The 27,305-nt window shown below is 37.0% G+C and overlaps 1 long non-coding RNA gene across 2 annotated transcripts in view; it reads left to right on the top strand.

The window, feature by feature from the left end:
• The window catches only part of LINC02546 (long intergenic non-protein coding RNA 2546), a 36,264-nt gene that overhangs the window by 2,298 nt on the left and 6,661 nt on the right, over nucleotides 1-27,305 (top strand). Inside the window, exons 1-2 of one of the 2 annotated variants that reach the window (NR_149106.1) lie at nucleotides 22,092-22,149; nucleotides 25,925-26,366. This is a non-coding gene — a long non-coding RNA (long intergenic non-protein coding RNA 2546). Of the gene's footprint in view, nucleotides 1-95; nucleotides 142-22,091; nucleotides 22,150-25,924; nucleotides 26,367-27,305 lie in introns of those variants that run through there. The other variant, NR_149107.1, reaches the window with a different exon arrangement.

Consider the following 27,305-nt stretch of genomic DNA (forward strand, 5'->3'; position numbering starts at 1 on the left):
GATTTAAAGTATTTGGGAGGATATGCATAGTTTACATTCAAATATTACACCATTTTATACAAGAAACTTAAGCACTCATGGATTTTGGTTTCTAGGTTGTGGATTTTCAAACCAATCCCCTGTGGATAACAACTGTCGCAGGTGAGTGGTGACTATCTGGGGCTGGTGGCACAGGGGTAAGAAGAATCTACCAGGACAGTTGTAGATAAAGAAAGGCAGATTTATTAGAGAAAGTATGAAAACATATTGCAAGGGAGCAATGGGCAGGTCAGCAAGAGAGGAGCTAACTGAAAAAGAGGCTTGTTGGGGATTTTATAGAATGGTGCGTGAGCTGTATGCTAAAAAAGAACTTTGTGTAGTACTGATAATGCCAAGGTTGCAGTGAGCTAACTTGTAATTTTTAAACCAGCCAAGGGTCTGGTGACAGCTGCATGCAGGAAGATTGTGCATTATTTGCACGGGAGGGCTATGTGTTGTAGACCATGAAGAAAGGCAGACCTATAGCTTATTTGCTTTCTCTTTTTGCTCTCCCTTGGTCCTGCCAGCCTGACTCCACCCCACCCCCAAAATTAGGACTCCACACCAGTCACCCATGACATACACTCAGGACTATATATAAGAATCCTAACAGTCTACAAAAAAAAAAAAAGTGACTAAAAATAGTAAGTGGTAACAACATTTTACCAGTGTTGCAGGGTACAAGGTCAATAGGCAAAAACGAGTAGTATTTTGTATACTAAAATAAACATTTGCAATTTAAAAAACAATATAATTTACAATGGCATAAAACCTTGAAATAGTTAGAAATAAATTTAACGTAACTAGTACAATGAAAACTACAAAACATCACTGACAGGAATTAAAGAATAAAAAATAAATGAAAGCCATCCTTATAGATACAAAGATAAATATTCCCACATAACAATCTGTAGAGTCAGTATACTACCATTCAAAATTCTAGTAGGAATTTGTATAAATTTACAAACTGATTCTAAATTGTATATGGAAATGTAAAGGATATGAATGAACCAAAACAACTTTGAAAAAGAACTAAGTTGGAGGATTTACACTACTTAATCTCAAAATTTACTATAAACTTATAGTAACTAAGAAAGTGTAGTATTGGCCGGGTGTGGTGGCTGACGCCTGTAATCCCAGCACTTTGGGAGGCCAAGGTGGGTGTATCACCTGAGGTCAGGAGTTTGAGACCAGCCTGACCAACATGGTGAAACCCCGTCTCTACTAAAATACAAAAATTAGCTAGGCATGGTGTTGGGAGCCTGTAATCTGAGCTACTCGGGAGGCTGAGGCAAGAGAATCGCTTAAACCCAGGAAGGTGGAGGTTGCAGTGAGCCGAGAGCACGCCATTGCACTCCAGTCTGGGCAACAAGAGTACAACTCCATCTAAAAAAAAAAAAAAAAAAAAAAGAAAAAAAAAAAAAAGTGTGGCATTGACAAAAGAAGGGTCATATAGATAAATGATAGATCATATAAATTTCACACATTGGGCCAGTTAGTTTCCACAAAGGCGCCAAAATAATTGAATGAAAAAGGAAGATCAGCCAGGTGCGGTGGCTCACGCCTGTAATCCCAGCACTTTGGGAGGCCGAGGCGGACGGATCACAAGGTCGAGAGTTCGAGACCAGCCTGGCCAATATGGTGAAACCCCATCTCTACTAAAAATACAAAAAAAAATTAGCCAAATGTGGTGGTGCATGCCTGTAATCCCAGCTACATGGGATTCCGAGGCAGGAGAATTGCTTGAACCCAGGAGGCAGAGGTTGCAGTGAGCTGAGATCGTGTCGCTGCACTCCAGCCTGGGCGACAGACCGAGACTCCATCTCAAAAAAAAAAAAAAAAAAGGAAAAAGAAAAAGGAAGATCATTTCAAGAAATGGTGCTGGAACAAGCAGATATTCATGTGGAGAAAAAGTAAATCTCAAACTTTGCCTTATAAAACACACAAAATAATTCACTTAAAAGGACCATTAACCTAAATATAAAACATAAAACTATAAAATTTTTAAAATAAAATAGAGGAGAAAATCTTCATGACCTTACTGTCAAAAAAGATTTCATAGGATATATAAGGCAGAAAGCATACAAAGAAAAAAATCTTTAAAATTGGATTTCACCAAAATTCAAAGTCAGTCTTCTCATTGAGAGACAATGTTGAAGTTATTAACAGGAAGCTGCCAACTGAATGAGAATACTCACTATATGTATATCTGACAAGCACTTATATCCAAAGTATATAAAGAACTCTTCCAACTCAATCAGATGACAAAAAAAAAAAAAAATCAATAAAAAATGAATAAACAGCCGGGCCCAGTTCCTCACGCCTGTAATCCCAGCACTTTGGGAGGCCGAGGCAGGCAGATCACTTGAGATCAGAAGTTCGAGAGTAGCCTGGCCAACATGGTGAAACCTCGTCTCTACTAAAAATACAAAAATTAGCCAGTGTAATGGTGCGTGCCTGTAGTCCCAGCTACTCGGGAGGCTGAGGTAGGAGAGTCACTTGAAACCAAGAGGCAGAGGTTGCAGTGAGCTGAGATGGCGCCACTGTGCTCCAGTCTGGGTGATAGAGCAAGACTCTGTATCAAAAAAAAAAAAAAAAAAAAAAGCAAGCAATATACACAATTGTCTAATAAGCTCATGAAAAGACATTTAAGATCTTTATTAGAGAAATGTAAATTAAAACAATAACGAGATACTACTGTGTCCGGAATTGGTGGGTTTCTGGTCTCACTGACTTCAAGAATGAAGCCACGGACCCTCGCCATGAGTGTTACAGCTCTTAAGGTGGCACATCTGGAGTTTGTTCCTTCTGATGTTCAGATGTGTTCGGAGTTTCTTCCTTCTGGTGGGTTCGTGGTCTCGCTGGCTCAGGAGTGAAGCTGCAGACTTTCGTGGTGAGTGTTACAGCTCATAAACGCACTGTAGACTCAAAGAGTGAGCAACAGCAAGATTTATTGCAAAGAGCGAAAGAACAAAGCTACAACAGTGTAGAAGGGGACCGGAGCGGGTTGGCACTGCTGCCTCGGGCAGTCTGCTTTTATTCTCTTATCTGGCCCCACCCACATCCTGCTGATTGGTAGAGCCGAGTGGCCTGTTTTGACAGGGCGCTGATTGGTGCCTTTACAATCCCTGAGCTAGATACAAAGGTTCTCCACGTCCCCATCAGATTAGTTAGATATAGAGTTTGGACACCCAGGTTCTCCAAGGCCCCACCAGAGCAGCTAGATACAGAGTGTCGATTGGTGCACTCACAAACCTTGAGCTAAACACAGGGTGCTGATTGGTGTGTTTACAATCCCTGAGCTAGACATAAAGACTCTCCACGTCCCCACCAGACTCAGGAGCCTAGCTGGCTTCACCTAGTGGATCCTACACCGGGGCTGCAGGTGGAGCTGCCTGCCAGTCTCGCGCCGTGCGCTCGCACTCCTCAGCCCTTGGGTGGTCGATGGGACTGGGAGCCGTGGAGCAGGGGGTGGTGCTCGTCGGGGAGGCTCGGGCCGCACAGGAGCCCATGGAGTGGGTGGAGGCTTAGGCATGGCAGGCTGCAGGTCCCGAGCCTGCCCCGCGGGAAGGCAGCTAAGGCTCCGTGAGAAATCGAGAGCAGCGCTGGTGGGCTGGCACTGCTGGGGGACCCAGTACACCCTCCGCAGCCACTGGCCCGGGTGCTAAGTCCCTCATTGCCCGGGGCCGGCAGGGCTGGCCGGCTGCTCCAAGTGCGGGGCCAGCCAAGCCCACGCCCACCCGGAACGCCAGCTGGCCTGCAAGCGCCGCAGGCAGCCCCGGTTCCCGCTCGCGCCTCTCCCTCCACACCTACCTGCAAGCTGAGGGAGTGGGCTCCAGCCTTGGCCAGCCTAGAAAGAGGCTCCCACAGTGCAGTGTCAGGCCGAAGGGCTCCTCAAGTGCCGCCAAAGTGGGAGCCCAGGCAGAGGAGGCGCTGAGAGCGAGTGAGGGCTGTGAGGACTGCCAGCACGCTGTCACCTCTCACTACTACATACACATTAGAATGAATATTATTAAAAGAATTGACAATGCCAAGTGTTGTCAAGAATGTGAAGTCACTGGGATTATCATAATTCTGCTGGTAGAAATGTAAAATATTGCAATCACGTTTGTAAACAGTTTGCAATTGCTTATAAAGTTAAAGGTACAAAGGTACAATTACTATATACTCCAGAAATTTCTCTCTCAGGAATTTATGACAGAGACATTAAAACATACATTCATACAAAGACTTGTATATGAATAATTACAGAAGTTTAATTCATAATAGTCAAAAACTGGAAACGACCCAAATACTCAACAATTGGTGAATATATAAACAAATGTAGTATAGCCATACAATGGAATATTATTTAGTAATACATAAAAATGAACTACTAGTGCACAAAGCAATATGGATAAATATCAGAAATGTGCTAAGCAAAAGAAGCAGATACAAATGAGTATATAATACTTGTTTTCACTTACATATAAAACTATAAAAGGCAAATCTTATATATAATGGTAGAAAGCAGGCCAGTGGTTATCTCGGGCACAGGTTAAATTTGGGGGGCAATGTTTTATATTTTGATTGTGGTAGAAGTTACATGTCAATATAAATTTGTCAACACTCATAGCAATATACAAGTATAATGCATACATTTTGCTATACTTAAACTGTATTTCAATAAAATTGATTTTAAAATTATATACAACTCTCATTGTGACAATTCTCATCTTCTCCCAATTTTCAGTCCTCTCCAAAAGCCATCACACATGGTAGAACATGACAGGAGTGGAGGAAACACATTATTAAGGGGGATAAGTGTTGTCAGCCTGTTGCAGGACCTTTACCACCTTAGCAGTGGCCTTTCCTCTTCTATTTATTCTCTGTTAGAACTATGTGACTTTCAGAAGCTGCCCATAAACACTTAAGCATCTCAACCTTAGTGAGCATTTAGCACTAAAAACTTTACCTGAATTGATACCCTAAGTCCACATCAATACATAAGAGAAACACGTAAATTTTATAGATATGCCTTACCAACTAGGGAAGAGAGGAAGATGATTATAGGGAAACAAAGGCATGCTGCTTATTTCCTCTGTTCCACTAATTGACGTAGATACAGAAAGGCAGAGGAATGACAGTGAGCTGTACAAAAGAGCAAGGAGAGAAACCAGAGCACCCAGACCCCACAATTAGCATCTAATTGGAGACAAAGCCTAGAGTGTGGGGGTTGCCTTCACGAAAAAGGCACAGAAAACTTGAGAACCACTGCAGTGTCCAAGAGACCAAAACAGAATTGATAGAGATGACATTAAAAGTTTTGCTTAAACATGAATTAATATGCCATTTCCTGTGTTTTGTGAGAATCCAATATCTGAATTGAACTTTTAATTATTCTTGGTTATTCACTGGTATAATTGGAATGATATAAGTCCTACAGATATACTTTCAAAGAGCTTCTTGGCTTATATAGATTATAAAAAAAAATTACCTCCTCAGAAGGCAAGAAGAGAAAACAGGGTAGAAAAATGGCAGCATTTGGGTGCCATCTTTGAAGATGAGATCTTTTCACTGGAAAAGCACAAGATTCTTCTTAAACCAATTTTGGATTTCTATCATCTGAACTTCCTTCCACAATGAGACTCTGAGGATTACAGGATGCTTAGATCCCTTCTTACAAACCCAGTAATAGTTAAATTCAAGTTACAAACCCTTCCAGTTGTCTTTATTTTGATATCTTTTCAGTGTTTTTAGTTTACGGAAGTAGCACAACGGCTTTTTTACTATTTCACACATTTTGAGACCCAGAGGAGAGCACAAAAATAAACTTATCCCATCTACCATAATGATGGGAGAGAAAAAAGCATATAATATGTGTGTGTGTGTGTGTGTGTGTGTGTGTGTGTGTTTTACTTGAGCACAGATAAGCCATCAGGCTCACACATAAAATAGCTTAAGTAAATATGGTTTTAGGATATGTGTACAGGCGTACAGTGAATCCACAAGAAGCAGTGGCTCAACAAATCAGATAGTCTTTGCAGAGGCTGTGTCTCATTTCCTACGGGACAACTGAGGAGTCCACGTTTTAAGTATTTTCATATTTGTGAAGCTATGTGAGAAACAGCCTGGGATCTCTAACTGAAGAAGATGTTACAGAGCTTGGTCACATGGCACGAGTAATAACAAAAGCCAACTAACCTTGAGTAATTAGTATTAACATAATTCCACTTTTTAACCTGGGATTGGGCTTGGTTGGTCTGAAAACAATTCAAGATATATATTCTACGATTCTAAGTTACCTCCAACATTTTGGCAAGTAGACACAATATGTTAAAAAGAATAACACATCCTTCTAAAATTTAAATGTTTCCTCTGTTACACCCCCTTAATCCAGATGGCCTCTTTTGAAAATTTCATAAATTCTTGTATATATCCAGAAATTCTGGGTAACTCAAAACTGACTTTTGCTTCTCTTAAAGAGTATTTCCAAACTTATTTCTCATCCTTTCTATAAAATCGTAAGCTGAAATTGTCTTCAAAAATAACGAAAGGATTTATCTTCTATTAGATTATAAATGATACCTTCTTCTCACTTACTCATATAAATGGGAATATCCAAAATATGAAAAAAAATGAAAGCACTGATGAAGCCATCAAGAGTCATTAACAGAACAACAGGGCCTTGCACTAACTCCATTTAGAGACAAGTCATAAATCACATGAGGGCCTCTGCTATGGTCTGAATTTTGTGACTGCCAAAGTTTATATATTCAAATCCTAACCTCCAAAATGATAGCATTAGGAAGTGAGGGCTTTGGGAGGTGATCAGGTCATTGGGGCAAAGCCCTCATGAATGCAATTAGTGCCCTTATTTAAAAAAAAAAAAAAAGGCCTGAGGGAGACTGAGATTCCTTGCCCCTTCCACCATGTGAGGACACAGAGATAAGGCAGTGTCTATGAGACAGAAAGCAGGCCCTTTACGAGACACTGAATCTGCAGGTCCCTTGATCTTAGACTGCCCACCCTCCAGGACTGTAAGAAATAAATATTTGTTGTTTATCAGCTACCCAGTTTATGATATTTTGTTATAGCAGTTTAAAAGACTAAGAAAGCTTCCTTTCTCCCAATTTGCACACAATATTAAATAATGAAATATAATTTGAGTATTCATTGTCAAAGAAGGCTATCATGGTCACCTACAGAATTCAATGCCATATCTATCTTTCTAGACAAGCATCACCTTCTGAAAATATTACCCAATATTTTGAACCAGAATTTATGGTAAAACAGAATTCAACCCCATATCTATCTTTCTAGACATGCATCACCTTCTGAAAATATTACCTAATATTTCGAACCAGAATTTATGGTAAAACTTTAACTGTAGCACAAAGGCCTTGAATCAACCATAAGCAAATCACATTTCCTTGAAATACTCAGTATTTAAGATGTGGAAGGAGAAATGCCCAACTACCTTTATTTACTTTCACCCACATCAACACTCCTGAACTTTCATGCTATCAAATAATTCTTTTTTAAGTTTCATTTATTTTGTATATTTGCTTATTCTTTTGAAGAATATTTTATGGGAACCTATTTTGCACCAGGTATTGATTTTGGTATTGAGGGTATAGTAGTAAATGAAACCAAGGAAAGCCTACCCTCACATGGTTTACATTTTAATTGTTGAGGATTTCCCTTCAAGAAATATTATTGGGAGTTTTATGTGAGTCCATTTGTGTTGTGGATACAGAGATAAGTTCAGCAAGGCAAATGACAAATCAAGATATTCTCTTTAGAAGAAATCTAGAGAGATCCTGGTGGACACATCTTGCATTTTAAAGCAAATGCATGATCTCTTCATGTTAAAAATCACTTTTAATATCCTACTATGCTTTGGTAGAGAATGAATTCCGGGTCTTGGGATACCAGGTGACCTTGACCCTGAAGCAGCTGGTTTAAAGGAAATATGGGCTTGGTGGTAGAGGCAGGAAGTATAAATACCAGCCATGACTCTGCCCTGTGACTAAAGGGGAAATAAGGACCACTATGCCTGCCCACGGTTTATTTCTTGCTATTTATTTACCTGAAATAAATTTCATTTGTTTTCTTCTTCCTTTATTCTACTATTTTATATCAGATATGTTATTGATAGTTATCATTACAATTTACTCTAGAAGGTAGAGAATATCAAAGGGCTCATCATGGAACTAGAGTCAGAATCGATATAGTAACAGATTATCAAATACATATATGTTAGAGCTTATTTTATCCCATGCCTTTTTCCAGGCACTTTACATCTATTAGCCCATTTAGTATTTCTAGGAATTGTAGCACATAGATACTTACAAAAAAAAATGGGGAGGAAAAATCAGTTAGTAAGTTGTCTGAGGTCAGAAAGCAAGAATATGATGGAGCTCGAGTTGTTGTCAGGCAGTTTGGGTTTCAGAGTCTGCGATCTTAAGCACAGTGCTTTAGGGACTCTAAACAGATATTGGGTTGGATTCCATAAGGCAACTTGATTTTCCAAAGATATTTCACATACCACTGGATACACCAAGTCACAGGGGCCATGTAAGAGAGATGCTTGCACTATGGAGTGGATCGGCTATGACATGGAATGAAATACCCACTAATGAGATACCTGCTATAAACATGACCCTCCCTGCTTTTTAGGGTAAAGGAAAGCACATTTTATTTTGTGTACAAAATAACTGCACTGTGTTAGGCAGAAACATCTGGTACTGTTGTAGTTTGAAATTTAAATATCGTCTGCGTAATCTGATACTGCACAACAAAGGGGGTGAATTGTAGTAGTTTTTTTTTTTTTTTGCGGGGGGGCATATGAAGTCTTTGAAAAGTCTTTCTACATTTATGGAATTCAGTACCTTATGAGATCCCTAATCCCTTTATAGAAGCCACATGTAGAAGCTTTTACCAAAAAGAAATACTTTTTGTAGTCAGATTGACCTGCTTCAGAAAATATCATAAACTGGGAGGCTTATCAACAACGCACATTTATTTCACACAGTTCTGGAAGCTGGGAGGTCCAAGATCAAGGTGCCAAAAGATTTGGTGACTGGCGAGAGCCCACACTCTTGTTCATAAATGCCCCCTTCTAGCTTTTCCTCACATGTTGAAAGAACAAAAAAGTTTTCTGGGATCTCTTTCAGAAAAGCATGAATCATATCCACGAGAACTCTGTCCCTTTTACCTAATCACTCTGCAAAGGCCCTTTCTCATGTTGGGTTTACTATTTCAACATATGAATTTTGGGTGGAAAGAAATATTAAAATCATAGTAATATATCTATGTTAAAATATTTTAAATCAAAAGCTAGTGTTAGACAACAATGTGAATATATTTAATGCCACAGGACCATCTAACTAAGAATGGTTCAAAATGGTAAGTTTTATGTTATGTATATTTGATCATTTATCTTTATTATCCCATTTAACTGTCACAAAAATAAAAGGAGATGTAAACTATGATTTTACTCTTTACAAATGAAGAAAATTATGACAAGTGGGGTTAAGTAACTTGTCTGAAGTCATGTTGCAAACAGTAGAACCAAGACTGGAACCCAGGTTTGCTTGATGTCAGTTCCTATGCTCTTAACTACTGTCCTATAAAAGTTACTGATTGATAGTCCTGCACTAATATATTCCAGTGGTACTGTACTTTAAAGACTTAAGAGAAGTAATATAAAGATTTTAACTAATAACAACTAAACCCAAAGTCTGAAGAGCTGAGTTACAGACCTGGCTCTTGTGTATCACATGAATCTGAGCCAGTGACCCACTTTCCTGGGCCTGCGATTTCTCTTCTGTAAAATGAGGGATTGCATCAACTGAGTCAAAATCCTCTACAGCTCTGCCATTCCACACTTCCAGCCTCTAATTAGATGTCTCTCCTCTTATCCACCTTGTTAACAAGAAGAAATACAAAAAGCTATTAATTCTCCATAGAGCTTTGAAGTTGTCCTTACATCCTCATCTCCCTCCTCCTTGTGCCTGGGTAGAATCATGATGTGATAAAAAGTCTAAGGAACTTTTTTATGTGCAACCCAGATAATCCAAGGTCAGGCTGTAGAAGCCGTTGTGCAACTGTTGGTTGAAAATCAATAGTACATGTCCTGTATTCAGGGACATACACACACAAATAAACACAAATCACTTACGATGACATCTGGTCCTTTGATTTCATAATGCAAATGCCAAAGGGTTATTTTGTTTTTTCCAATGTCATCTCATAAAGGCAATATATTCCCTGAGGCAGGCTTTGGACCCGAGTATGAACAGGGTCATTATTGTTGAATTTTAGGATTCTCCCTGGGAATTTAGGTGTCACTAAAGCAGCGATGTTGTCTTCGGCCTTAAGCAACCAATTGATACCCATACACCAGTTCTTTTTGTCATTATGACCAGTATATCGGCTCTAATATTATTGATATTTTCATCACCCAAATTAGTTTTCAGGATTTACTGCCAGACTGGAAATACTGGGTTAGAGACTGGGAGTTCCATTGTAGTATTTTAACATAGTCGACTATTAATAATAATAAAAATAATAATACCTGTACTATTTATTTAGTCTGTGCAGGCATTGGGATAAGAGCTTTATAAGCATCATCTAATGTTATGGCAACCTTATATGTTAAGTACTATTATTTTTTCTTTAATTTATATATGGAGAAACTTAGGTTTAGAGAGGAGAAATGATTTCCCCAAAGTCACATAGCTAGTATTGAAGGCCTGTGTGACTTCAGGCCTTATTCCCTTAACCCCTTCATTATTGAGATAATGACTCCCATTGAGAATCAGCCTGCCTAAAATATACATGAAATAGAATCTTATTTAGAAATTCTAACAGTGTAGCAGAGCTCATCCTGTTTCATTAGTGAAGAAAGTTTCTTTTCAATCTGAGAAAGCCATTCATTTAGACTGAGTTTCAGGAAGGAGAGACACATAGGGATATACCAAAATTAGCTGGCTAGTGTCAATGAGGCATGACCAAAGAGTCCATGGGGACAGAAGCAGTGATTTAACTTCAGGTTCAGTCCCAGAGGCAAAGACCGAATTGAGGACCAAAGCCAAGGTCACTTACTAGGTATGTGAATGGAGCATGCCACGTGAAGGAAGAAGTCATTAAATCATCAGTTAGCAATGACAAAAAAACAAAGTAGCTAGAAATTGGTCTTTTAAAAAACTAGGTAGTAACCAGTCAGAATGGCTATTATTAAAAAAATAAAAAAATAATAATTTATGCTGGCAAGGTTGCAGAGAAAAGGGAACACTTAGGCACTGTTGGTGGGAATGTAAATTAATCCAACCATCGTAGAAAGCTGTGTGGCAATTCCTCAAAGAGCTAAAAGCAGAACTAGCATTTGACCCGGCAATCCCATTACTGGGTATATACCCAGAGGAATATAAATCATTCTACAATAAAGACAGATGCATGCAAATCTTCATTGCAGCGCTATTCGTAATAGCAAAGACAAGGAATCAACCTAAATGCTCATCGATGACAGACTGGATAAAGAAAATGTGGTACATATAAACCATGGAATACTAGGCACTCATAAAAAAGAATGAGATCGTGTCTTTTGTGGGAACATGGATGGAGCTAGAGGCCATTTAATTAGCAAACTAATGCAGGAACAGAAAACCAAATACCCTACGCTCTCACTTATAAGTGGGAGCTAAATGATGAGAACTTACGGTCACAAAGAAAGAAACAACAGACACTGGGGTCTACTTGAGGGTGGAGGTTGGGAGGAGGGAGACGAGCAGAAAAAATAACTGTTGGATACTAGGCTTAGTACTTAGGTGATGAAATAATTTGTGCAACAAGTCCCTGTGACATGAATATAACTATATAACAAACCTGCACATGTGCCCCCAAACCTAAAAAAAAAAAGTTAAAATGAATAAAAATGAAAAGATTAAAAATTGGGTAGTAAAAGTAGAGGAATTTCAGTGGTCCTACTTAAAATCGGAAGATGCTCTTACTTCGAGGAGCTTGAGTCATGCCTAGTCACTAAGATATAATTCTGTACCTGAACTGATGAGCCTAAAGCTAGTATGGAAGAAATGACTAGACTTCACAGTCCAGTGAAAAAGCATTTAAAAAATAGGTGCAACACAGAGACAGAGAAAAAAGCAGACTGATTCTAAATTAGATGATCGCAGATTTTGAAACAAATACCTGCAATAGGGAAGGGTAAATCATCAGGCTTATAAAACTGTATAGATATATTTAAATTGCACTCAGTATGCAATTGCTTCATAATTAAACCCTGCTGGGTAAGCTCACTCACCAAAAAGCAGGTTGAGAGTAAACCTGTTGAAAGGGTACAGAGAGTCTTACTTGCAGACACCAAGTTCTGATTGACAAAGATTTCTCCCATTACAAAAATTGTATTTATTTATTCCTATTTATTCAGTAGAAAATATTTTTCATGTACATTTTGAGTTCTAGACATAGAGTGGTAGGCATAGTGGACAAGATCCCTGCCCTCACTGAACTTACATTCAATTAGAAAAAGTAAGTCAACAGTCAATAACAGCACAGTGGGATAATGCAGGGTGCAAGGGAACCTAACCAGAGATATGGGGACGACAATGACTTTCCAGAAGAAATTATACTTAATTTGGACTAAGGGATTAGTGAGAGTGATTCTGGAAAAAAGAAGCAGGGGGCAGGGTATTCTAAGATCAATGAATAGCATCTGGAAAGACTCATAGTCTACTGGAAGTATGATCAATTTTACCAAGTGTCAAACGTTCACTATGCTCAGAGTACCATTTGCAAAGGCTAAGTGGAAAGACATGAGGGTGGCCAGGTTCACAGGAGATAGCACAGGAGAATTTTGTAGGTTAAGATATTAGTACCTTTCCTGAGACAAATGGGAAGACATTGATGCGTGCCATTGATGAGTGCCAAGGAAGAAAATGAAATGATCATATTTACATTTTAGGAAAAGTGTTTTGATTTAGCTCCAGGCTATGTTAGTTTGAATGACATGTGTTATTTCCCTGAAAACAACTGATAAATATCTTTGGTCATCCCAGAATGAGCTAATGAAATTCACTTTCTCAACCTATAAAGCTGAAGCAATCCCCTGAAGGTGACACCACAGATAGAAGCAACTATGTAGTTTGTCTTTTATTACCAAAATATAGTATACAGTGACAGTGACTTAGGAGTCTCAAGTGTTCCATTTAAAAATCCACATCCTCTCCATTTAGTTAATTCTGATTGTAAATTGATCACTAGCTCACATAACTGTTGTTTGTAGACAAAAATGGTGGCTCAAAATAACAAAGATAATGGACATTAGCCTTTTTGGACCAAAATTTTTGGTGGCCTTAACCTTTTAAAAGAGAACTTCACATAATAATGTCAACTGCTCATTGAATAGGTTTCGGGAAATATTGTAAAGACTTCATGTGCATTATCTTATAACTTTATGATAATTCTTTGAGGTTAGCACGGGCATTATCCTTACCTCTCAGATAAGAACACTGAGGCTTAGAGAGGTTTCAGTAGCTTGCTGAGGGATGTAGTTACCAACTGCAAAGCTTGCCTTCAAACCCATATCTGTCCTATTGCAAAACACATGCTTTTAACCATGATCCAGTTCTGCTTCTTTTTCATAGAGTGATGTGAGAAATGTCACAGTGCAAACTATCCTATCTGGTAATGAAGAAAATCACTGAAGAAAACTGTCCATTTTAACGTCAATTATGTTGGAGCTCAAATGTGAATGCACTCTAAAACTTGGTAGAACAACCCTGTTGAAAATGACAAACATATGTAATCATTTATAATACCTTTATTTTCATCCTGCACAAGCAAGGATCTGGAAAATCAGACTCAGATAGGGATTTTAGAATTTAGAATTAAGTGACTATATGTATGGGAAGTTAGCCCATAACTTCAGAACAAGAGGTTAGAAAATACAGTAAAAATAGTCAGAAAAAGCACTTAACCAAAAGAGAGACTAGACAAAATTTTAGTCAAAATTAAAGACGAAACACTTGGTGTCAGCAAGACTAAGCAAGTTCTTATGGTTGAGAAAGAAATGAGAGGCAGAGAAAGAGATTCTGCAGGCAGTTCTTAAGACATAGACGCATATGCCTTGTGTAGAAAACAGTAAGCTGGTTTGGACTCAGCCTCCCATCATATGTAGGAGTTTTATCCGTGATAGATTGATAGAAAGAGTTATCATTCACCTCCACTTCAGGAAAGACACTTCAAATAGATTAGATCCTTGAGTAGACCAAGGCATTCTCTAAAGCCCAGAAAGGCCTGTACTGTAAGAGGCACTATAGGAGAATGGTTTGAGAACAACTTTCTAGAGGTAGGCTTCTTAAGTTTGACACACAGTTTCAGCACTAACTGTTTGTCCTTCAGAAACTGCCTTATTCTCTTTATGCTTCAGTTCTCTCATCTATAAATTAAGATAATAATATCAATATCTACATCATAGAGTTGATATAGGAATAAATGAGGAAATCCACTGGAAAACCTAGCACAGTGACTTGCACAAAATCATAACCTAAAAATATCATCATCATTGTTATTATTACCATCAACATTTTCATAGTTACATACTTGGATTCTGTAGTTATTAAGATACTGCTTCAGAATACAGAGATTTTGGTAAATGGAATAGAATTTCAAACAACAACAACAATAAATAAAGCCTTTGAAAAGTTCAAGGATCTTGAATAAGGCCAGTGTAAACTAAAGTACCAAGCAAATGAGAAAGTGCTGATGAGGTGGTAGATGTAGCAGAAGGCTAATCAGGCATGCCTTGCAATTCTAATGAAAAATTCAGTTTTATTCCAATGGCAGCATAATCATCAATAAACTAGGTTCCTTCCCCAAAGGGGCAGGTGGGCAAATAAGTGGATATGTCAGTGCACTATGATAGCTGTGCTAAAAATTAAAACAGGAGTTTTAGTGCAAAGAGAAAGGAAACTTCACTCAGCCTTCAAGGAGCCTTCCGCACCTTGAAAGAGAGAGGGAAAATATGTCTATAGCCACAATTCCATAAAAGGAAAGAAAATGAGGTCTTGGCTTGCTTCACATCTTATCAGAAGATGTTTCCATCCTCTTTCTATGCAAAATGCCTACCATCTGGGTCACCATTACAAAACAACGGTAATTTTATGGAATAAAATTATGAAAAGTAAGAGTAAATTTGTATTATGTCCATGCCACTGTAGAATGTCAGAGTACATGTTGGTTTTTTCAATTTTCCCACCAACAAATCTCTTGCCAGGAAGTCCCTGCTTTTGAAAGTTTCAGGGTTGATGACCTTTCATATCATGATAGATTGGAAGAAAACTCAAGTCTATTAATGGTCAGCTGGGCAAAGTAGCAGGCAAGCAGATGTACATTTTCACAATACCCTCAAAGGAGAAATTTGAAATGATTACTTATTTCCATTGATGGAGAGAATGGTTTGTAATAGGCAGAGATTTTATGAGTGTTCCTGAAATTCTGAAGCTCAGAAGGTGCCATCTTCAGACTTCTTACATCTTGTCATTTTGAAAGTGTAGTTTGGCCAAGTATGTTGGTAGCTTAGCTGGGAAGTAGATCTCAGGCTCAGATGCCAGCTAGTATGGTCCCAGGGTCCAGAAGACTGGCAAGGTCATCATAATGGATGACATCTGGCTCTGGCATTAATGAAGAACATTTGAGTTTTGGCCTCTTAGCCAAAGCCACTCAATGAAGACATCAAGCAGTTTAAATATTTCCTGATATCAGGAGGTAAATATCTGAGGCTCCCAGAAGTATCAAGATCCCAAATCATGTAGAGATGTCTTACACAAGAATTCAGCAAACATTTTATTCTTATTGCTCACCACCTGCAATGAGCCTTCCACTCCAGATGTTTTAGCTTGAGTAGCCTTCCATATATGACAGACCCAGTTTTACTCTCCCACCGGGACTCCTGCTGGTCAACCCTCCTCTCTAGTTCTCAAAATCCTGACAATCCTTTTAGATCTGGCTCCAGAGCTATCTCCTCTATGGAAAAAGGACTTAATTTCTCCGTCCCACAGTAGGGCAATTGCCTTCCTCAGAACTCCCTCATCATGTAGTTTCTAGGACTAGAAGAAAACCTCAACCATAACTACAATGAGGTAGTTAATACATATCAAAGAGCAACCATAAATGTGTATTCACAAAATAAGCTGTCAGACAAAATTAGCAATTTTCTAGCTTTTTCCATTAAATATATAGTTACCGGATAATTTGTTATGTCTTCAATGAGCACTTTTATTAGCACATAAGAGGTATAGGTATTAATGGTTTAGTTAAAAAATGTGTTGAACAAAAGCTTAAGTTAATAAATAAATCATTGTCACTTTTAGTATTTTCTGGGAACTGGAGAAATGCCAACTTTGAGATTTTTAAATATGAGGTATCTCAGTATATCCCATAGAATACCAGTGTTTGCTCTTAACATATTGGGACCCAGTGACCCAGATTCTTTAAGCCTGTGTCCAGATCTGTCCAGTCATATTTGTTATGCTTCATCCAGATACAGACTGAGCTTCTTGCCCCTGAACTACCTGAATTTTTGCCTGACTGATCAGCTGGCAGGCAGACAGGCTGTTGGACTTTTTGATGGGCCAACTGGCGAGTTCCACTGGAAATATATAAACTCAATAGAAATAGGTAAAAATATAGCATTTTAGTAAGTCCTGGAAATAAGACCTCTCCAGAGACAAAAGTAGAATGTTTCTAGCATTTTTTGGGGGGACCCAAAATTGACATTCATTTACTCATCATACATGGTGGGAGATACAATGTTGATGTTACAACTATCTACCATGATTGAACTGATCCATTCCAGGATTTAAACTAACACATAAATGTGTTTTCCTCATTAGTTATTGGCATGGATACATGACAAAAGGCTGCCTGTCACGTGGTTAGGTAGAATGTTGTCTTCGCAAATGGCTGCTCAAAACAGATGCTCTCCCCACCTCTCCCACTCCACCCAAATCCCAGGAAAAATGGGTCTGGTAGGGAGGATATGATCAAAGATAAAGGATTTAAATACACATAGGTACACACACATACACACGCATCCACACACCACACACACACTCACATATAACCTGAGGTTTTGTCTTAAGAGAAGTCAGTTCTTTTTAAAAAGTACCATCTTTACACTGAACAAAACAAATAAGACTAGGGATTTGTGTATTTGCTTTTAACAGATCTTCTCAAAATATACATTCTCTAAATGTGGAAGAGGCAACTAGTAGCATCTGTGCCCACAACATGAATCTGGTAACATAAAGTGTGTTCATGGACAAACAGGAGGAGCTTTTATTGAAATCCATAGAGTGCCCTACCTTGGGACTGAAGGAAGTAGCTAGGACCTGTTGGGGACCTGTGGCTCTTTGTCTTCTCAGAAGGCCAATTAAAGTTGGAATTCAGAGTATCTGTGGTCTCTAGCAGCAACTCAAGGCTGACTCTTGGCTTAGGACTCTGTGAACTATAGGAAACCAAGGGTTAGACAGAAATCAGTTGGCAACTTGGCTGAGACATTGCTCCTCATCAATCAACTCCCAGCAGCATGGAAGGACATTTCTTCTCTACTTCTCATATTTGGTTTGAATCAATTAATTTGTAATACTCTAGGACTAGGAAAACAGGCTAAACATTTTATTTTTTTCAGCCACAGCTTTTTCTCCTAACCGTCCACCTCTCTGTCTTGAAAACATAATATCTACCACATTTTCATCACATTACTGTACCCAGATGATAACTCAGTGGTATAAGTGCCATTCCAAGTATCATTTAAAACAGATGAGTATATGCATTTGATAAAGGATGATTATACAGTCATATATAGTATGGAATCTAGGGGCATGACCCTTGGCTAGATTAAATTGTATCCTCTAGTATTTTTGAGAAAGTCATTTAAAATGCATTGGCCTCTATTTGTCTGTAATAATAGGAAAATACTTTCAGATCTACTGTTAGGGTAATAATTAAATGAAGTCATAGTTAAGAATTATTTTTTAATTTAAGCACCAAGGTAATAAGGGATTATCATGAAAATTATAAAACAAAGATTATTGAGAATGGTTATGATATTCAGTTCTAGAGGTTCTCATCAACAGCACTGAATTCAAGTCCTAGGACTGTCTGCTTCTCATTAGCTGTGTGAACTTTGTAAAGTCTCCAAACTTCAACACTGGCTGCCTCATTTGTAAAAAAGGAATGATAATAATTCTACCTCACAAGAGTTATTTTATCAGGTTTAAATTACATGATGAAATTAAGCTCTTAACACAGTGCCTGGCAAGGAGTAAGTGCTTAATAAATTATCAGCTAGTATACTATTGGGAAACATATGGCTCATACAGTTTAGAATAATTTGAGGAAGATTCAATAAAGGGACAATATGCAAAAAGTGCAGAGCTGTTTGTTAACTACAAGAGATAGTGCAGAGATATTACCATCACTATATGGGAAAAAATGAAGGTGTATGGAGGTACCTGACCCAGAGGAAGAGATTAAGAGAGAATTGCCTTAAGAAGAGCTAAGAACTTTGATGGAGGGACATTTTAGCTCAAGGAGACCTTGCATAGACCTCAGTTTTTCCTCTTCTTCTAATCTCTAGCTCTGTTCTCCATTGACCAATGAAACTGGAACTTTGAAGGCAAAGGACGCCTACCGCAGTCCAGAGTTCAGTAATTTATTTTCTGTAAAGAGTCAGATAGTAAATACTTTTGACATGCAAGTCATGGTCTCTTGAAAACAGCCAATGACATTATGTAAATGATGGGTGTTACTGTGTCAATAAAACCTTAGTTACCTAATGAGGCAACAGTTTACAGATACCTGATGTAGTCCATACAAATCGGATTCCTGATGCAGAGGAGAAAACTGGAAAATTGATCAGAGGGGCAGATGAAGGATATCCACTTCAAGATAATGATAGCTATCTTAACTGTTATGCAGGCTCTATTATGAATATCATTTTAACTGTACATGAGTTGAAGACATTAGCATCTTGTTTCAGCTATATAATGGCTTTTGTTTAACCATGCCAATTTTATATGGGTGTACTACAGAAAACTACAAATAAAGCTATATAAGCTCCATGAAGGTAAAGACTACATTTTATTCACAACTGTAAATCCTAGGCCTAGCTCAGTGTTTTGGTGTACTGCAGATGCTCAATAAATATTGGACAAATTAATGAATCCCAAATTGTACTAGATGTCCTGAAAAGGATGAAGTCATCATCATTTTATATAGAGGTATAACATACACACAAAACTACACACATTTTAAATATACGGGCTCGATAAGTCTTGACAAAATTAATACATCCATTTAATTATCATTCAGATCAGAAAAGAGAGTATTACCAGCATCTCATAAAACTTCTTGACCTTCCTCCAAGTCACTATCCCTTTTCCCCAAAAGTAACTACTGTTTTTATCTCCATCATCGTAGATTAGTTTTGTCTTTTTGGTTTGTATCAGGTTTCTTTCATTCAACATTGTGTTTGTAGATTCATAGGTGGTGGTGTAATGAGAAGCAATTTGTTCATTTTCATTGTTGTATGTTATTTCATTATATGACATAGCACTATTTATTTTTCTAGTCTATTATATGGGCATATGAGTTGTTTCCAGGCTTTAGCTACTACAAAGACGGCTTCAATAAAAATGTTCGTGCATGTATTTTGTTGCCCATATGACTACATTTCTATTGGAGATATGCTTAGTGGGGGAGATAAGTTGGAAAACATGGCAGGAGCTTGTTTGGCTTTAGTATATACTACTGTAAAGCCCAAATAACAAAGTGGCTGTCTAAAAGAAAATGATATTTATTTGGGATTGAGCATTGCAGTGGGAATATAATGGGTACATTCAGGGAGGTAAAGGAAGACAAGAGTTTTTAAAGGAAAAATGAGGAGAGTTACATGAGTTGTTTTGAAACAATTATCCTTGGCTGTAAGGATTAATAACAAGTTTGAGGTCAGTCCAAGTTTGAACAGGCAGTTGCTGGGCAGATGTCCTCATAGAAGCATTTTTTTGTGTGTGTAAGGGTTGCTGTGGCATTTGTGCAATGTTGTGGTTTATGTAGTCTTCTGTGAAAGTTCCTATTACCAGGCATACTTGCATGAGAATCCTCCCTTCATGGCCTTGCCTGTTCCCATTTTTCAGGGTTTTGATACAAGTGGCTCCATTTGATTCTGACAATTTTCATACTACCAAATGGTTTTCTACAGCAATCCTAATAATTTGTGCCCTACTAACAAGTGCATAATATGCTTCACATCTCAGCCAATAATTAGTATTATTCAACTGTTTAATTTTAGCCATTATTTCAGGGATGTAAGAGTAACTTGCTGTGTTATCTTTCCCTTTTGGGTAATGAGGATAAAATCCTTTCATTATGCTTACCAGCCATGTGGATAACTTTGTGAAATGCCTCTTCAACTCTTTTTACTTACCTTTCTATTGAGTTTTCTGTCCTTATCTTAGTATTTAGAGGCATTTAAAAAAATAATTTGGATATGTGTTTTTATTCATATGTACGTATTAAAATATCTTTTCTACCCTGTTTCTTGCCTTTTTACTTTCTCAATGGTATATTCTGAAGTCCAAAAATTTTTATTCCTATGTGGCCTGAGTTAACAATTTTTCCTTTATGGTTTCTTTTTATGTGCTCTGAGTATTTGTATACCCTAATAATGTTAAAATATTTTTCTATATTAACTTCTAGAAACTTTATTGTTTCTACATCCCCCCCAAGATATATTTGTATGTATGTGTACGTGTGTGTGTGCATATATATATATACGTATATATATGTGTGTATATATATGTGTATATACACACATATATATGTGTGTATATATATGTGTATATGTGTATATGTATGTGTATATATGTGTATATATATGTGTATATATACACATATATGTATACACATATATGTAGACATATATGTGTATATATACACATACATGTGTATACATATATGTGTATATATACACATATATACACTCATTCTAAAGAAATATACTTTTGTGTATGGCGTGAAATAAGGATCAAGAGTCAGTCTTTTCTTATGCATATCTAGTTGACTTCTAATCATTTATTGAAAAGACCATTTTTTACTCATTGTGCAGAAATCCCACCTTTATCATAGATCAAGTGACTATATACATGTGGACTATATCTACATTTTTTATTTTGATCAATTGGTCTACTTGCCTAAGTTACACATCTTAATTATTAAGCCTTCATAAGTATTGATATCTCAAACTCTCTTAATTTTCTTAGCAATTCCTGGCCCTTGGCATTCCCAAATATATTTTAGGATCAGCTTTTAAATTTCTATCAAAATATGACAAATTGTTTTATTATGATTACACTGAATCTTTAGATGTTTGATAAGAAGTCTTATTTTTGTGGTAATAATAATGAGACTCCTAATACTTGAACATGGTATATACCCCTTTATGACTTCTTTAATATTTTGTAGTTTTTTGTTTACACATTTATAATTCCTATATTATACATATTTCTAGGTATTTCGTATTTCAGGTACTATTACCAATGGTATCATTTTAAAATATTCATGAGTTTCTGCTTTTGGTCTATCAGTATGAAAGTGATTTTTGTATATTGGTGTAATGTCATGCAATTTTACCGAATTCAATTACTACTTCTGTAGAGCCTTTTAGATTTTCCATGCTGATTAGTCTGTTTGAGCTGCCATAACAAAATACCACAGACTAGGTGGTTTAAACAACAAAAATTTATTTTTTCATGCACTGGAAACTGAAAGTCTCCAAGATTAAGGGGCAGCCCTGGTTTCTTTCTAGTGAGCCTCCTGGCTTGGAGACAACTGCCTGCTTTCTATGTCCTCATGCGGCCTGTCCTCTCCATGCATGTAGAGAGAGACAGAGTGAACAAATGGCTCTGGTGTCTCTTCTTCAGGGCCCCACCATTATGACCTCATTGAATCTTAATTACCTTCTCAAAGCCCCTATCTCCAAATATAGTCATGTTGGGTGTTAGGGCTTCAGTATCTGAATTTGGGGAGAACATAAGTCCATGACACATGTGTACAAAACTTTCATTGGTAAATAATGACAATTTTTGCTCTTTTCAATCTTTATGCCTTAGTTTACTTTTTTATCTTATTGCACTGGCTAAGGCCTCCAGGATAAAGTTGAATAAGAACAATGGGAGCAAATATTTTTGCTACCTACCTAATCTCTGTGGTAAATCTTTTACTATTTTCATTCAAATGATGTTTGCTATAGATATTTTGTAGATACTCTTTATCAGAAAGTTTGCTTTCACACCCAATTTGTTCAGCACTAATGAGTATTGAATATTATAACTTTTTTATACCTAGTGAGATGACCATAGGAATTTTCTACTTTATTTCTAAAAGTTATGAATTTTATTGTTTGAATGTTAAGTAATTGCATTTCTGTAATATAGTTTGGAATATAATGAAGTCAGACATTATTCATTATCCTTTTACTACCTATACAGATTCAATTTCTTAATATTCTGTTGCAGTTTTTTTGCATTTTTTATCATGAAAAATTGTCATGTAAGTATCTTTTTGCAATAATACTAAGAGTATGCTGGCCTCACAAAACAAGAGCTGTTTCCTACTTTTTCTAATCTCTGTGTGTATTTGAGTAAGATTAGAACTATTTCTTTCATTAAATACTTGGAGGGGAAATGGCCCTTGAAGCCACAAGCACTTGGAGATTTCTTTTTGTTAGAGATTTTAATTACAAAATTAAATGTCCCCAAAGATATAGGACTAAACGTATTTCAATTTCTTTTTACATCATTTATACCAGTTTGGGTAAGTAATGTTTTCCAAAGAATTTTTTTCCATTTCATCAAACTTTTCAAATATCAGCATATAGTAGTTAATAATATCCTCTTCTTATCTTTGTAATATTTTAAGGATCTGCAATGATGTTTTTTTACATTCCTGATGTTGGTAATTTGTACCTTATTATTTTTGGTTGTTTTTCATCAGCCTTGCTAGAACTTTATAATCTTTGTAGTGGTTGAAAGATGACTCCCCAAAATACTTTCATATCTTAAACTCTTTAAAAGTGACTTTGTTTGGACAGAAGTAATTAATTAAGGATCTCAAAATGATATCATCTTAGGTTATCCAGGTGAGCTCCTAAATCCAATGACAAGTATCCTTAAGTAACAGAAGAAAAGACAGAAAGAAGACCATGTGAAGGAGGAAGCAGACTGAACTTATGCAGCCATAAGCCAGGAAAAAAACTGCAATGCTCTAGTTAGATTTTTAAAGCCATTTCTAGATCAGTTTCACAATAGCCAGATAATACACTTTTAAATCATTTCAATCCACTAAAATCTGTTGAAACTTCATTAATGGCCAGCACATAATCAGTTCTGATGAGTATTCAATTAAAAACAATGTATACTGCATTCTGCAGTTACAGGTTTTGTTGTTTCTATTTATACATGGTAAAGTTTGCTAATCATGCTTTTCAGATCTTCTAAATCATTGTTGATATTTTGGATTATTTGTACTGTCAGATACTGAGAGACCTGTTAGCTCTCCAACTCTGATTTTTTTTTTTTTTCTATTAGAGATGGGGTCTCACTCTTTCACCCAGGCTGGTGTGCAGTGGTGCCATCTCAGCTCACTGCAACCTCTGCTTCTTGGGCTCAAGCTTTCTCCCACCTCAGCCTCCCAATTAGCTGGGACCAATGGCATGCACCATCATGCCTGGCTAATTTTTTTTTTTTTTTTTTTTTTTTTTTTTTTTTTTTTTGGGTAGAGACCGTGTTTCCTCATGCTGCCCAGGCTAGTCTTGAACTCCTGAACTCAAGTGATCTGCCCACCTTGGCTTCCCAAAGTGCTGGGATTATAGATGTGAACCACCATGCCCCACTTCCAAATCTGATTTTAGATTTTTCTATTTCCCAGTTAGTTCTGACAATGTCTCATTTGTATATCTGTAGGTTTTATAATGTGCATAAAAATTTATAGTTGTTATGTTCTACGGACAAACTGACCTTTTATCAATATGAAAACAATCTTTTTATCTTTAATAAATGCATCATGCCTTAATGACTACTGCATCTGATATAAACATATTCACACAGTTTTCTTTGGTTAATATTTGTGTAAAACTTTTTTATATCTATTTTCAACATTTTTTACCTTATCTCTGTAAATTTCATTTCATAATTTATTCAATATTATAATTTTTGCATTTTAATTAGAATAGTCTTTCTAAATAAAATGTAGTTCCTAGGGATTTAAATTTACCTTGTCACAATTTGATTTGTCCTTGACTCATTCATATTATGTTCTTTCTCTCCTTTCTTGCTCACTTTGGAGTAGTCAGGCCTATTATTATTATTATTACTATTATTCTTTTTAGTGTATTTTCTGTTCTACTAGCTATACACTACATATTATTTTACCACTACTTCAATAGTTTACCTTACAGAAGTAGTTTTCAAAGTGTCTTCTTAAAAAAAATTGCATCTGCAACTTTTAGCAGGAATGCAAACTTTTGACCCCACCCCACCACTCAAAAAGTTAAATGAGAAACTTTGAGGGTGGTATATAGCACACTTTGAAGAAGCCCTTCATATAATTCTAAACAACTCTAAAATTTGAAAATCACTGCCCTACAGATTAAATATGTATCTTTGACTTATTAGAGTTTAATATAATACATAAGGTCGTTAAACAACTTAAGGTCTGTTTATCCCTTCTCTATCCTCTTGTGTATTATTGTCATATATTTTAATTACACAAACATTTTAAACAGACTCATTTAATAGAGTCTGCAGTCATTTGGAGTGATACACACATTACTTAGTTTTTTCTCTCTGTATTAGTCTATTCCCACATTGCTATAAAAAATACCTGAGACTGTGTAACTTATATTAAAAGAAGATATTTAAATGGCTCATGGTTCTGCAGGCTATACAGGAAGCATGATGCTAACATCTGCTCCGTTTCTGGGGAGGCCTCAGAAAACTCACTGTCATGGTGGAAGGCCAAGGGGGAGCAGGTATGTTACATGGCCAGAGCAGGAGCAAGCAAGAGAGGGAGAAGGTGCTATGGACTTTTAAATGACCAGAACTCACACACACAGGTACACACAGAAAAATTTCATTAAGTATTGTGAAGATAGTACCAAGGGGGATGGTAATAAACCATTCATGAGAAATCTACCACTATAATCCAATCACCTCCCACTAGGCCCCACCTTCAACACTGGGAATTAGATTTCAATATGAGATTTGGGTGGGGACACACATCCAAACTACATCACCCTCCATACCCACAATTACCTGAGTGTTTTCTTACCTGCCAAACCTCTAAGGCTGGGCATGCACAGCATTAGAAATCATCACATAAGAATTGTATGTAAAATGTATGGAAGCTCAGGTAGAAATGTGTGGAGCTCAGGTAGACACAGAAAACGCAAGTAATGTTAATGACTAAGAGACTCATGCTACTAGAAATCTATCCCTGTTGCACTGTCTTAGCTCCACTAATTTATTCTCATAGTATCATGAAGAGTTGCTTACCGCCAGTTAAAGAGAAAAACCTCAGGTATACTCTACAGATAATTTTGCATTATATGCCAGTGCCAACTGAAATTCAATTCATCTAGTAGAGTCCTACAACCCAAGCATAAGTGTCTCTAAAAATACAGTAGTGAAAGGATATTTTTCCTTTGGACAGAATACTGATCAATGTATTTTACTGCTTATTTTATCTAGACATATAGTAGCAGAAGCATGGATATACTGATTTCTGGACATTATAGGGATCTTAAAATGCCTTAATTTCCTTAATTGTATTTTCCCTTTTGCAGTGATATTAGTGTCATAATAATAATATATAACAACATACAACAGAGCAACCAACAAGCTTAACACCTGAGAAAAGATAGGTGCCTCCCAGAAGTAACAAACATGAGTACTTGATTACCTAGGGCACACATAGCACAGACCAAGATATAATCGCCTTGAAAGTGGATGAAAAGAATGCAGCTGAAACATTTATCAAATTATTGGAGGCCAAATGTGAACACTAGTGAAGATCAACTGTGGTTGGAGAAATGAAGAACAGCAAAACTCTAACCCCGGGACAAGTACAAGATTACTGAGAAAGCTTCACCCCACAAACTCAGGGGCACTAAGACTGAGGCTGAGCCGTAACGACAGAATTTTCCCACTGTTAAAGCAAATAAATATGGCCTGAGAAGGATTTCTATATTTGAGTCCTTGTGGACTAACTGCAACCTAGCTTAACAGGTAAACAAGATTGAAAACCCAATTTAGGAGTATGTGCCTGTAATTATAGCTGAGTCTTGGCCAATTGCAGTATAACAGAAACAAGCAAACTGAATATGGCCTGAGAAGGACTTCTATATTTGAGTCCTTGTGGACTAACTGCAACCTAGCTTAACAGGAAAACAAGACTGAAAACCCAACTTAAGAGTATGCGCCTGTAATTATAGCTAAGTCTTGGCCAATCGCAGTGTAACAGAAACTTTGAGAATTACCTTCTACCAACCCATCCCCCACGGAGAGGATGCCTGGAGGAATTTGAGGAATGTGGTGCACTGAGAGCAACCACAGTAACAACCAAACTGAAACCCACCTTAGTAGTAGGGGGATTCAACCTCCCACTATGCTACTTCTGATTCCTTTCTGCATTTCTGTTTTTCCCTTTGGAATTACCTCCTCCTCCTCGAAGACCATGTCAGTATTAAAGTGTAGATCTGTTTTCAATTATTTCTGTAAGATTTATTTATTTTTATCTGGAAACAGCTTTATTTATTCTTAATTTTCAAAATACTATCCTGCATGGCATCAAATTCTGCTCTTATAGTTAGTTTATTTTAGGATTTTAGAAATGCCTTTTTATTTTCTTCCAGCATTCGTCATTTCTGTTGACTAATAAGCTATAATTCTTATGGTTACTCCTTTGGTAGCAAGATAACTTTTCCTCTGGCTGCTTTAAGATTTTATCACTGTCTTTGTTTTCCATAGCTTTACCCCGACTGAGGTTTATAGAACTTCTTTAGTTTTTGAGTTAAAGGTTCTTTTTTATTATTTTTGGGAAATTATCTTTCTTCATTTTGCAAATATTATTTTCACTTCATTTTCTCCTTTCCTCTGGTACTTTAATGTCATGTAGATTAGGCCTTTTCACTATATGCTAAATGCCACTAATGCTCTTTTGTGTAT

Source organism: Homo sapiens, chromosome 11 (assembly GCF_000001405.40).
Source record: "Homo sapiens chromosome 11, GRCh38.p14 Primary Assembly".
Classification (NCBI taxonomy): Eukaryota; Metazoa; Chordata; class Mammalia; order Primates; family Hominidae; genus Homo; species Homo sapiens.